The sequence below is a fragment of the Homo sapiens genome, chromosome 9 (assembly GCF_000001405.40).
Source record: "Homo sapiens chromosome 9, GRCh38.p14 Primary Assembly".
NCBI lineage: Eukaryota > Metazoa > Chordata > Mammalia > Primates > Hominidae > Homo > Homo sapiens.
In genome coordinates, this window is record NC_000009.12 from 1,701,004 (window position 1) to 1,714,684 (window position 13,681).

Sequence of the window (13,681 nt, forward strand, 5' to 3'; positions counted from 1 at the left end):
TTACAGGATTTTCTTTTCACCTCTTATTCTTGAATTTCTATTCTTATATCTTTATCTTTCTTGATTTTCAGTTCAAAAATATTATATAGGTTTCTTTCAAGATGCCTCGTGCTATGGTTTGAATGTGTCTTCCAAAATTCAGGTGTTGATACATAATGGCCAATGTAATGATATTAAGAGGTGAGCCCTTTAAGAGGTGATTAGGTCATAAGGGCTCCTTCTTCATGAACAGGATTCAGGTCCTTACAAAACAGGCTTGATGCAGCATTTACCTTGCTTGCTCTTCCACCTTCCACCATGCGAGGACACTGCATTCCTCTCCTCTGCAGGATTCAGCAAGAAGGTGCCATCTTGGAAGTAAAGAGCAGTCCTCACCAGACAACCAAACCTACCATTGCCTTGATCTTAGACTTCGCAGCCTCCAGAACTGTGAGAAAATAATTTTTTTTTGTATCTCTATAAAATAATGAAGATAATTCATATTATTTGTTCAATGAGATGGCATTTGCATTTCTATTTGCATTCATGAAGAAGACAAATAGTTAATAAAAATTAACTGAGCACTTCTTGCTAAAACACTTAGAGTGAACTTTAAGGAACTTTTTCAAAGAAAAGGAAAAGCTTTTCTTCTTCTCTATTATGGATAGAATAAGGGTCAAATAATAGTAACTTGCATCAATATCGGGCATTTAGTAGTTTCTTTAAAATATTTCCTAAGCAAATGAATGAATGGAAGAATTTCTTAGCATTCTTGTTAATTATCAGAATTAAGGTTTGTTAATTATCAGAATGCTTTGCTGCTGCAAAATTAAATGATCCCTTTCATTGGCATAAATCAACTAACATGTATTAAGTACCTTTTTAGTTTGATGTCTTCTTTAATTAAAACCCTTTTTTTTTTTTTTTTGGTCTGGAAAAAGAATAAACTTGATCTCTCAATGGCCCTGTCACTGTAAGATTTGATGCTTTCTGTGATTTTATAGCACTACTCGTTGTTTGATTTTATATTTTAGAGCAAGTCTCTAAGCATTTAAGAAGTCAGTAAAGCAATTTAGACCTTCACCCAGATCAATGCCTTGAACTTCTGAAGACTGGATTTTTGTCATCCTCCCATGTTTCAGAATCATATAAAACAAAAACAAAATCAGTCTTGGTTGAGTGATGGGGTGCTCTTGGAAGGGCCGGCTATATTTCCGGGTATGAGAATATATAGCTCTTCTCCAAGAGTCTACCCACCAGCTCTCACCAGGTTCTCCCGTGCAGATGCCTCACCCTCCCTAAAAATGGCAAAAAAATTGACAGGTAGTGTAAGATCAAGAGAGTTCTTACACTTAGTAAAATCTATAAAAGTTTGATTATTCAAGATTCTGATCTTGAATAATCTTTTTAAAATAGGTATCTGATGGATTCTGTTGTTGGTTGTTGATTGTTGTTATTGTTGTTGTAACGCTTATTTGCCATTCTGCCGGTTTCAGTCAATATTAGCTAGTTCATGGCACTTCCAAAGTATTAATACAATGCAAGGATTTATAATTTTCTTGGGTGGCTTACTTTTCTCCATGAGGGAAAGGTGGAAGAAACAATATTGGCTAAGCAAATGTTAATATTCAGAATATGATTTAAAGTACAGAGCTCAGATTGGCTTTTCCATTACACTGAAGGATTACAGAGATGCGGAGAAACACTGTTGGTTCATCATTACTAACACATACGTGCCAGGACATACAGGCAGGTCGAAAGATTGAAAAGCAACCACCTTAGCTCTGAATTCCAGGGAGTTTACAGGCTTAAATCACAGAGACTTGACATCAGGCAAATGGAGTTTCTGAGGCTGAACAATAATTTGGAATCAAAGGTATTTGAGAATGCCAATTATTAAGAAAAATTCTTTTCTCAGGATCACCATAGCAAAGAAACTCCTAGAAATGTGGTTATGCCAGTTCTTGCCTTCCATAATTTAAGCTGTCTGTACCTTTTTGTTGGAAGTAAGCATTTTGACCAACCTGGTTTGATATTCCACGTAGTCCTGTGAGAAGATGGGGAAAATCTGTGATAGAGGTTCCTGGAGAAAAAAAAATCTCAAGCCTGTTAAAAGACAGGGCAGATTCACCTTTGAACAGGATTACATCATGTGTATTCAAGGACTGGGGCCACTGCACTTCTCCTCTTAGTGGGAAAAGACCATTTGACCATATCTTGACTTTCTTCACCTTTAGGTGAAGAAAGTAGAGATTTTGACTGATGACATAATAAAAGTTGAAATTTGGAGACTGAGTTAAAGAAGGGAAGGCCTCTTCTTGATGTTGACGTGATAGGAGACATACATACACACAGACACACACACACACACACAGACACATACCTTAGATATTGTTTGTTAAGCAAAAGATTGTGAATTTGAAAGAGCCAGCAGCTACTCTACTACTTGCAGATGCTATTTAGCACTTCTAGTACTGTTATTTAATGTTTTCATGTCCAGTCACTTCAACTACATTGTAAGCCCCTTAAAATCAGGGATTAGCTATTTGATGCTTCTCCCAGTGAAAGTAACACATGGCCTCACACTGTGATGGAAAACAGTCTGATATAAGGAGAAAAATCTTACCTTAGGGGAAAAGGTATCTGGGGAAGGTTACTTCACTATTTGTAAAATCAGAGAGTTAGACTAAAGAAAGAAGCACAGAAGGGAGAAATAAACATGCGAGAGGGCAAATAATCCATAGGCTCCCTTGTATCATTCTCAAGTATGCATTAAAACTGGTTTTGATTATCTATTTTTTATTTACAAAACTTGTTTTTCTCAACCATATTGCAAGACAAGGTCTCTTACACATTTCCATCAGCTTTTTTTAAAAAAACCTTTTCTTTTCTGGGTTATGTTAATTATCTTAGTTATTCACCAAAATACCTCCAAATTGCCTAAGTGCATTGTAGTTTGAGTACATACTTACATGTTCATTTAACAAATAATGTTCAAGTGCCTACTTCGTGCTATGTATAGTCCTGAGTTTATGCATTTCAATTAGACATTAATGGTAAATATCAAGAAAAGTTGTGGTGAAGATTTAAATGTTAATAAAAGAGATGCAATATATCAGGTCATACATAGCTGAGGGTCCTGGAGGGAAGCATTTTCACTGGGCAGAGACTTTCTTGGGAAATACACAAGGGAAAATCAATCACATTATAGAATAAAAATTGGAAAATGACTAATTTGGAAAGGTTAGTTTTAGAACTGGAATTATTTGATCTCTAGAGGGAAAGATTAATGTTTAATGTCATAAAGTCATAAAAGCCCCAATGATTTTCTTCTTTTATATAATTTCTCTTCTAATCAAAGTAATGCACATACTTAGTTTAAAAAGGCAACTATTAATTACTGAAAAATAATAATTTTCAGCCCATCTCTCCATGTCTTGACACCTATCAAAAGCATATACTTTTGCTTATTTTATCTATTTTTAAATATTTAATAGTATATCATGTTTAAGTCTGGATTTAAACAGTTCTGCTTATCTATTTTTTATTCCCAAAACTTGTGCTCTCAATGAAATTGCAAGCTCCTGGGGTACAAGGACCTTGGGTGGCACTCTCTCCCTCATGGTCCCTGTACTACACTGCCAGGCAGACAGAAGATAGTCGCTGTTTGTTGCTTGATCAAATGTGGCAACCTTTCCTGAGGTTCCTCTAAATGCTCAAATGGCGGTGAGGATCAGTGGCCTCCCTAAGCAGCATCAGAGTTGGGGAGATTATATTAGAAGGGAGGATGATGGAGTGGGAATTTGGAATTAAAAGATGTTTGTTTGAGTTCTGTCTCACTTTTGCCTCTCTGGGTTTCAGTTCCTATCTGTAAAACAGCATTATCAGTTGTTTCATATAAAAGTTTTATTGTAAGGCCGGGCGCGGTGGGCCACGCCTGTAATCCCAGCACTTTGGGAGGCCGAGGTGGTAGGATCACAAGGTCAGGAGATCGAGACCATCCTGGCTAACACGGTGAAACCCCATCTCTACTAAAAATACAAAAAATTAGCCGGGCGTGGTGGCGGGCGTCTGTAGTCCCAGCTACTCGGGAGGCTGAGGCAGGAGAATGGCGTGAACCCGGGAGGCGGAGCTTGCAGTGAGCGGAGATCGCGCCACCGCACTCCAGTCTGGGCGACAGAGACACCTTCTCAAAAAAAAAAAAAAAAAAAAAAATACATTTTAAAGGGAACTAAATGAGATTTACATATACAACTGTAAAATGGTCCATAAATTAATCATTTGTCATTCTTACACTGTCCAACAGAACATCCTGTGAGGATGAAAATGTTGTATATCTGCTCTATTCAATATTGTAGCCATTAGTCACTAACTACATGTAGATACTGAGCACTTCAAATGTGATTGATATGACCAAGGAAGTGAATTTTAAAATGTATTTAATTTTAATTAATTTCAATTTCAATAGCTGATTTGGACAGCATAAATTTAGTCTACACAGAAAGGTAAACCAGGAGTCACAGCATCTGGACGACTTCACACTGACCTAAACCAAAATGTGAAAACAGATGGGGTCCTAAGAGGCTTACATGAGCCCCCGATGAAGGAATAGTAGAGAGTAGAAAGGGATGAGCCAAGTGGAGCAACACAAAGGGACGGAAATCAGCTTATATTTCTTTCCTCTAGTTCCACCCTTCTAGCACACCATTATGTAACTCTGAATCTCCAGTTTGTGGAAAGAACTAAAAGTCTTCACTCTATCACTCATTATCTGTGAGACCACCTCTCCAGTTACATTTTGCCATCTGAAAAGGGACAGTTTTATGTTAGAGGATTTCACAGGATATTTTGAATGCTAACGCCTCATGTCCTGTGATTCAGATCTAGTTGCCTTGGTAGCCCTTCTAGAACTTCTTGGAACTATCCTGGGTAGCTCCAATTCAAGGTTTCTTCCTAGAATCCGTCTAGAGACACTTGAAATGAGATGCTGGATGGCAAAGAAGGTGGATTAACTGCCTCATGACCGTCTTCAAGGAATACACAAAACATGTCCCTACACAAAAGTGCAACACACACCTGGATATGTCAAATACACACAAATGGTATGTTAGTTCTGCAAGAAAAACATAAAAGTTCAAGTTTCTTAGATGCTTGCCATATGCTAGGTATTGGTTTTCTCAAAAAATCCTTTGAGGTAGGTGTAATTGTTATTGTCCCCATTTTATAGACACTTTATCTAGGTAACACCATTAAAAATCTGATTTGAATATAGATTGTGTGACTACAGAGTCCACACTCTAATGATTAGAATACAATGAATTCTCTATAAATGTTCAGCACAAAGTAAGTTACTTGGAAAAATAATAGCTGGAATCCTGCAATTCACGTGATGGCTGGTAGTTTTGAAAGAAAGCCTTTCACTAACATGTACTTTCGCCCCCTACTGCATGACTAGTCATCTTTGTATAACCAGTGACCACCTACAGAGTCTGGTACTGAGCAGGTGCCCAAAACATGATGAATGAATGAAAGATTAACTGAATAAATGAATGAGTCCTAAGTCCTGATTTTTTTTTTCTTGCGCAAATTTCTACCTAAGTGTTCTAGGGAGTCATGCCCTATAAACCACAAATTTTCATCAGAGGGGTTTTATTTGACCCTGTTTATTGTGACTTACTTTTCAATCTGACTCTGGCATAACATTATGAGATAAGGAAAAAAAAATATGTAACCTTAAAATATATTTTCATGCCATATCTTAAAATTGCCCTGCAAATTCTCTTGTGTGGAAAAGTCCACATTCTATAAAAAATCCCCTTCCCCCTTTGTTTTCCTACCTTACTTGCCAGATCCAGGAGATCATCAACTAAGAGTCAGGCACCATTTTAAGTCTGATAAAAAACAATTTACAGCCTGCTCTCTCTAAAGTCGGCTACCTAAGAGCTTCCTCTGCACAATAAAACTTGGTCTCTGCAATTCTTTATATTTAACCTGAACATTCCTTTCTATCGATCCCAGGTCTTCAGACAACCTCAACCAATTGTCAACCAGAAAATGTTTAAATTTACCTATAGCCTGGAAGTCCCCACTTTGAGTTGTGCCACCTTTCTAAACCAAACCAATGTATTTCTTAAATGTATTTGATTGATGTCTCATGCCTTCCTAAAATATATAAAACTAAGCTGCACCCTGACCATCTTGGGCACATGTTCTCAGGACCTCCTGAGGGCTGTGTCATGGGCCATGGTCATTCATATTTGGCTCAGAATGACTCTCTTCAAATATTTTAAAGAGTTTGACTCTTTTTTGTCAACATGACAAAAACCATACAGACAACTTGTCTCTCCTACCTCAATCAGAAGTAGAAAAATTGGGGTATTATTCTACATGTTCAGTATGAGAATAGCACTTTCTTTCTGTTGAATGTATGGAAATACAAACAGGTGTTAGAAAGCTAGTGTTACATTTCAAGGAAATCCATTTAAATAAACATGCCTGGGCTTGCCATAGTTCATTGAACTTGGAATGTAGCACAACCACCGTCAAAAAACAGAGTGAATTTTACTGGGAGCTCAACAAAAAGCAGTTTGCACAGGGGGATCTATGTATCAGCAACTTTTCTTGCAAAGGGATGCTTTGGTGACCATAAACCAGATTTTTAACCAGACACTAAGCAAGATATCATGGGGATTGGGGTCATTAACCTGTCCAGAAATGGACTAAATGATCACATTCATCTACCAAAAGAACATCTGATAAATCCCTGCCTTATTCACAATTTAATCTCTAAGAAGGTATAAAAAGTAATGAGGGACAGGATTCTTCGATTTGAAAAGAACACTGGGACTGGGGGTGATTATAATGGGTCACTGTAAATTCATCAATTGTAACAAGTATGAAATTCTCCGTGGGGGAAGCTATGCCTGTGTGGGGTTTAGGGATACATGGGCAGTCTCTAAGCCTTCCTTTCAATTTTGCTGTGAACCTGAAACTGCTTTATGAAGCAGTCTTTAAAAAAAAATATATTGATGACAAAAAAGGGTAAGATTATTGTAAGAAATTATTTATATTATCCTCAAAGAGTATGATTGTAAAAAATGTAATTCTAAGACCTTCAAAAATATCCTCTGCCTTTAGGAAAACATATATGAAAAACTTAATTTAAAAATGTATTTGAATCTATGAGGGAGGGACTCTGCTTCTAATATACCACTTATTGTCTGCGTTGTGTCTACCATATTTATGCTTGCCTTCTCAATGAGGCATTGTGAGTGCCTGGAGAGCAGACATCTCATCCTGTCAATCTTTTTCTGCCTTCCAGTACCTAGCAGGGAGTTTTCAACATAGCAAGAGCTCCATAAAGTTTGAATTAGTTTAAATCAGTTCCAGAAGACTTAACATGTACAATGTGAAATTCTATCAAGCCATTTATGGATAGATAGCCCTGATGACTATGATAAGGAGGAATGTGCTATGGTTTGAATATGTCCCCTCCAAAATTCAGGTGTTGAAATGTAATGGCCAGTGTGAGGCATTAAGAGGTGGGACCTTGAGGAGGCGATTAGATCATAAGTGCTCCTCCCCCTTGAACAGGATTAAGGCCCTTATAAAAAAGGCTTTGCACAGCTTGCTTATCCTTCTGGCTCCTGCCATGTGAGGACACATTCTTCCTCCCCTCTGGAAGTTGCAGCATCAAGGTACCATCTTGGGAGCAGAGGGCAGCCCTCATCAGACAAACCTGCCGGCACCTTGATCTTGGACTTTCCAGCCTCCAAAACTCTGAGAGAGAGAGAGAAAAAAAAAAACCTGTTGTTTATAAATTACCCACTCAGGTATTTTCTTATAGCAGCACAAATGCACTAACCCATGTGCCAACAGAATGAACTCTGTATTTAGCCGAAAAGAGTAGACACCAAACATGGAAGAAGTAACAGAGAATGAAGGACTAATAATATAGTGAATATGTCTAGCCTACTTCCAACAATACATTTTGCCATTTGCTCCTGTGGAAACAGTTAGCTATGACTGCAATCAGTCATAAAGGAACAGGTTAAAGTGTACAAGTTACTTGGTATTGGGAAGCCATGTTATTTAACGAGAATGCTTGACAACATGGATGACCATGGATACGTGATGGTAAAATGCATGGTTGATTTGATCCATTCAGTCAAACAACTAATTCCCCTTTTCCTGCCACAACCTGTGTAGGTAGCCTCTTGAGAACTTGGGGTAACATTGAAAAAGGCAAAGATCAACCTGCTACAAATAAACTAAAGATAATTTACTGACTTCAGTATAATCTTGGCCATTCTTTTTGTTTTTCACAATTTTGATTCTCCCCTTTGGCACCCATTATTTCTTGCTTATGGCAGGATGACCTCAAACCATTCAACACAGGATCATGCTACCACATAATTTATTTCTTGCTGTTATGTTTCTCTGGACACTGTCTGCTTAATACACTGTCTTGGATCCCAATGTACTTTATCTAATACCTATAATGAAAGCAGGGGTCAGAAGAAAGAAGCCACTAGGGGGCCTGTGACACATGGGATTGGAAAGATGAGTCAAGAATGTTCACCTTGGAGACTTCCCAAGATGCCTCCAAGAACTGTCCTAAATTTTTTTAGACATCGCAGAGTCAGGTCCATTCTTTGATTACTGGCACTGAGAATTCTATAACAAAACTAGGTGAGAATGTTTTCTTGGCAATATAACTCCCTCAATTTTTATAGTGAAACCCCAGACTTTATTTTCTCATCCATCCTCAGCTATTTATCTCCAGTGTCAGAGGAGAATACCTTTTCTCATTTCCAAAACTAATTTTTTTACCTAAGGATTTCTTCCCTCCCAACCTCTTTAAGGACTTGCCCCATCAATTATCTCCACTCTTACTTAAGTCTGAAATCTCTCCCTCTCCCTGATTGTTTCCCATGCTTAAGTAAATTGTTCAAGTCTTTCACACCTTTTAAAACAAATAAATCAGCTTCCTGAAGTCTATAGACCTCTTCCTAACTGCAATTATAACTTCATTTGTATAGATACAACAGTTTATATTCACCGGCTTCATTTTCATGCCCTCAACCCATATTAGGACCTGGAGAATCAAGCTCAGGGAAGTGCCCAATTCTATATATTAAACTTTGGATTTCACTCAAAATTATTTTCTCTTCCCAGGGTTGGGTTTTTGATAAGCCAGAAGACAGGGAACGTGGACATGGTCCTTCTTTCTTCTCTTTTTTTTCCACTTAATGACTCCACTTCTTCTCACTTATCTGGTATCATGATTTTAATGCCACCAGGGCTAAAACCAGAGGAAGGGAATGAAGTCTATGAGGGCAGAATATTCTCACTGAATGGTTAATCAGCTAAGACAGCGTTATGCTCTCTGTCCTGACAAAGTTTAAATCTAACCCTTTCTTTTCTTGGGTACTTTTGAGGTTCTTCACAGGCCCTATTGGGAACATCATTTGTACTTTCCAGGTGATACATGACTCCCATGTGCCGTATGAAAAATTTTCCTTCATCCTTTGTCCAAAGTGTCTGGAATGTGGGCCAAGTCCCATGCAGCGGCAACTCTGTGCTCCATTACCAAAGCAGGACCCAGACTCTTGCCCTCCAAATTACTCAAATCATTATCAGACACAGGCCAAAGTTTCATGGGACATGTATCAAGCTGACAGAATGATCCTGTTGGACTTAAAGTGACAAGGGAAGCATCTCCTTTCCCTATCATTATCATAAATTATCTCTCTCAAACACAATTGTTTTATATCCTCAATGCATAGGAATGATAAAACATATGCTTGGCACTTTGAAATTTGTGCATGTTTGTTCAGGTATCTATCATGTTAGGGTATGTTTGAAAGTGTACTTTAACATGCTTTTGGCAACACAATTCCAGAGATGCAGGTACTTGGAGACAGACTGACATACCTTGATCCTCAGTGGTTTTGGTGGTTGGAGAGATCATTGCCTTGAAAATATCTTCATCAGGAGCAGTGAATCCTAAATATCTATGTCTCCCCACAGCCTTATTACACCTGGGGTTCACAGTCTCAATGATCTCCGGATAACATGATCTTAACCCTGTCAAGGTCTCTATCTTATTTAAGGTGATCCCACATGAAATGTGTCCCATCTGGAGGCTCCATTTGACATGAATTTTAAAGGATTTTAAGAATTAGGGCCTGGTGAGTATGGGAATTGGGAAGATATTAAAAGAAGGGGCAGTAAATTGTTTTAGGACAGATAATGTAGCATTTTTTTTCAGGTTAAGGGATTTCCACCTTACCTTACAGAAATCTTCAATTTCTACCATCCAATTCCATATCCTTAAATATTGATCAAGGATAATTCACTTCTATGAAGAACCACTGGGGATGCTGCAGAAAGAATGCTTCATGAATCCCAATGGTAAATTACAATCACTAAAGTAAAATGAGCACGTCTGTCTTATACACAGTCTGAAAAATCCTTATTGTTAACATGAGGGTTACAACTGGGTTCATGAGAAGGTTTAGGTACCCTTCACCTTCTATATTGTCTCCAATGGTGGAGACAATATAGAAGTGAGAGCTGAAGAGTAGCTCTCACTAGGCTTTATAAAAATTTAGAAGTTTCAAAGGTGGATTTGGGTCAGGGTCGTGTAAGGGGAAAGAGGATTAAAATATAAATTAAGAGACTTTTAAAAAGTGAGAGATCAGGTTGAAGGGAAAGGATGTAATTTCAACATTTGAACTCAGAAAGTTGGACTTGGATAGGAATGTGCTGGGGCTCTAGGCAGATGGGATGAGTACAGGGATTGAGCTGAGCTGGATGGAGATGGGACAAGGCTGTCTTGTGGAAGACAGAAGGGCTCCCTCACCCACATCTCTCTTGGTCACAGCTTCCCAGAATATTCATAATTTGTCTGTATACCTAGACTTCCACTGGGAAGGCCAGAGAATCAAGGGATCGCCCAAGCTGTTTTCTCTTTCCAGAGCAAGATCAAACAGGATAGATCTGGAGCCAAGGCTAGCATTCAAGGCTGACTGACCAAGGGCTGAGAACCAGACATACCCAAGTACCCAATTCCCTGAGGTCTTCCCATGTAGGGGTTACAGGCAGATGGAAGCAGGGGGAGAGAAGAATGTAAGAGAAAAACATTATTTATCCTCTACTTGGCTATTGCATAATTTAAAATCTTAGACCTGGCCACATCACTTCTTTATTTTCAAATGTCCCCACATCTAAAAGAAGAACAAACACAGTGTGGCAAACAAATGCCCTCCACAACATGGCATTGCTTTCCTGCCTCCTTAAACTCATCTTTCACATACGCCAGTGCTCTCACCATAGGTACTGCCAAAATTTCACCATATTCATGCCTCCTTGTCCTTGTTTATGCTGTACCTCCTGCCCTTACATCTTTTCTGCATTTGGTCAGCGTCTACACATCCCTCTGAGCTCGTCTCCTCTGATCTTACTCAACCTTCCTCCGTATCCCCAGGGAACCCAGGCTTAATCCTTCCTTTGCTGTGGAGTTATACTGTGCGGCTTGCCATTCTGTTTGTAAAGTTTGGTGGTCATGGTGGACTTGGATAACCTGATTCTTACTATGGATCTGCCACTGCTAGTGTGTGACCTTGAGATATTTATATAACCTCCTGAAGTTTCATTTTTCTCATTTTATTATCTGAAAAAAATGAGAATAATAATTCATACATACCTCATCTGGTCATTATGAGGCTTAAGTGAAATAATGCATGTAAAGCATTTAAAACAGTGCTTAAAACATTTAAGCTTCTATTAAACGTTACTTGATATTAATCATAGCATTTATGAGACCTCATATAGTGTCAGACTCAAGAAAGAAGCAAAGAGGTATACATTTTTCTCCTCAAATTTTGAAAGTATTAATAACATTGAATTTCATTATATTAAAAATTAAACCTTTGGGAGGAGGGGCTTGGAGGGGCTACTAGATCAAAGAACAATAGGAGACAGGCATTCCACAGAGCAGGGGGGTCTACTTCCCGGCAGATATCCGTGCCCTCCTCTTACTCCACTGTAAAGCAGTCGCTCCAGCCAGAGGCAGCCGAGGCCCAGCCATGCCATGGGTGAGAGGCAGCCACTTTCCAGGCGCAGAACTTTCTCCTTCTCTAAGAGAAAATGGCAAATAAATAAATAAAATCTGTATAAATTTAAATAATTGGAAGGCAGCTTGACTGAAAAAGACACTTTTCTTTTTCACCACAAATGTCACCATCTGGACTTTTCCTTTTTTAATTTCTTTGGGACCTGACAAGTCACTGGGCTGCTATAATCACACCCAGTCAAAAATGACAGACACATCTCGGTGAGTTATGGTGGGCAGAGTTCCAGGGTGGCCAGTGAGGACCCAGAAATCAGTGGGAGGGTAGTTTCAACAGCCACCCCCTCCCCAGAACACAAAAGCTCCTGAAGTGTGAGCAACCTGAATACACCACACACACACACACACGTGAGCATTTGTGGACGTGTGTGCACTTTCGAGATAGCATTCAATTAACCTACTAGTTAACTCATTTTCTAGCAAAAAACTAAAGGGCAGGAAAGGCCACTCAGCAGACTGTGCTGCTATTAATAAACTACATGTGGCCACCTGTGTCTCTGCTTGTCTTGGTTTCTCCCAAACTGTCCTTCATCAAGCAAGGCAAGAATAATCCAGGGGAACCAGCAAAGTGGATCCATTTTTCTATATTGGTCAACTGAGAAACTCCATGCAGCCACAGGTCTACAGGCTTATTCACAGCAATCACATATAAATATTCCTACCCACAAAATCACATTGTTTAATATTTTATTTTTGCTATTCCTGTACTATTTTAGTTACAATTGTCTGGAAAGTACAACGCCTCCCCTGTAGATCTTGTGCAGAGTACTTTTTCAAAACAGAAAAATTTACCATTTTGTAAATTGTCTTCTATGGCAATTTACAAAGCTCCAGTCTTTAGGAATATTTGCCTATTGCTTAGTTTATTTGCATAGGCCTTAATGAGTGTATGTACATAGATGGACATATACATACATACACACATATATGAATATGCATATATTCATTTGCCCAATTTTTGCAGTGTTCTATGTATAAGTAAGCACTGTGATAAAATTACAAGCTCAAGGTCTACTAGGACAGTGCTTTTCAAACTGGAATGTGCGTACAAATCACATTAGGAACTTTTCATTTACTAGTCTGTATTTCTAGTAAGTACCAGGAGATGCAATGTTACCGGTCCATGGACCACAGTATGAGTAGCAAAGTATTACAGGAAATAGACATAGTTTTGTTTTTGAGATGAAGTTTCACTGTGTCACCCAGACTGGAGTGCAGTCGTGCCATCTTGGCTCACAGCAATCTCCACCTTCAGGGCTCAACCGATTCTTCTTCCTCACCATGTTGGCCAGGCTAGTCTTGAACTCCTGACCTTAGGTGATCCTCCCACCTCGGCCTCCCAAAGTGCTAGGATTACAGGCGTAAGCCACCGTGCCCAGCCCAGACATAGTTTTTAAACTCGAAATTTATGAGTCCTCCTGCAGATACACCTCAACCTCACATTCCACACCCAATCATTACCAGAGCAATCACTTTATAAATGCCTCTGAAATGCACCTTTTGTTTCCACCTTCGGTGTCACTAGGCTGGCCCATCTCCATCACAACCACTTGTCTCCCAGACTAG

At 38.9% G+C, this 13,681-nt stretch overlaps 1 long non-coding RNA gene across 1 annotated transcript in view; it reads left to right on the forward strand.

Annotated features, from left to right (window-relative positions):
* The first annotated feature begins 333 nt into the window (after positions 1-333).
* The window catches only part of LOC105375951 (uncharacterized), a 261,361-nt gene continuing 248,013 nt past the window's right edge, over positions 334-13,681 (forward strand). The window contains exon 1 of the long non-coding RNA XR_001746599.1: positions 334-429. This is a non-coding gene — a long non-coding RNA (uncharacterized LOC105375951). The remainder of the gene's footprint in view (positions 430-13,681) is intronic.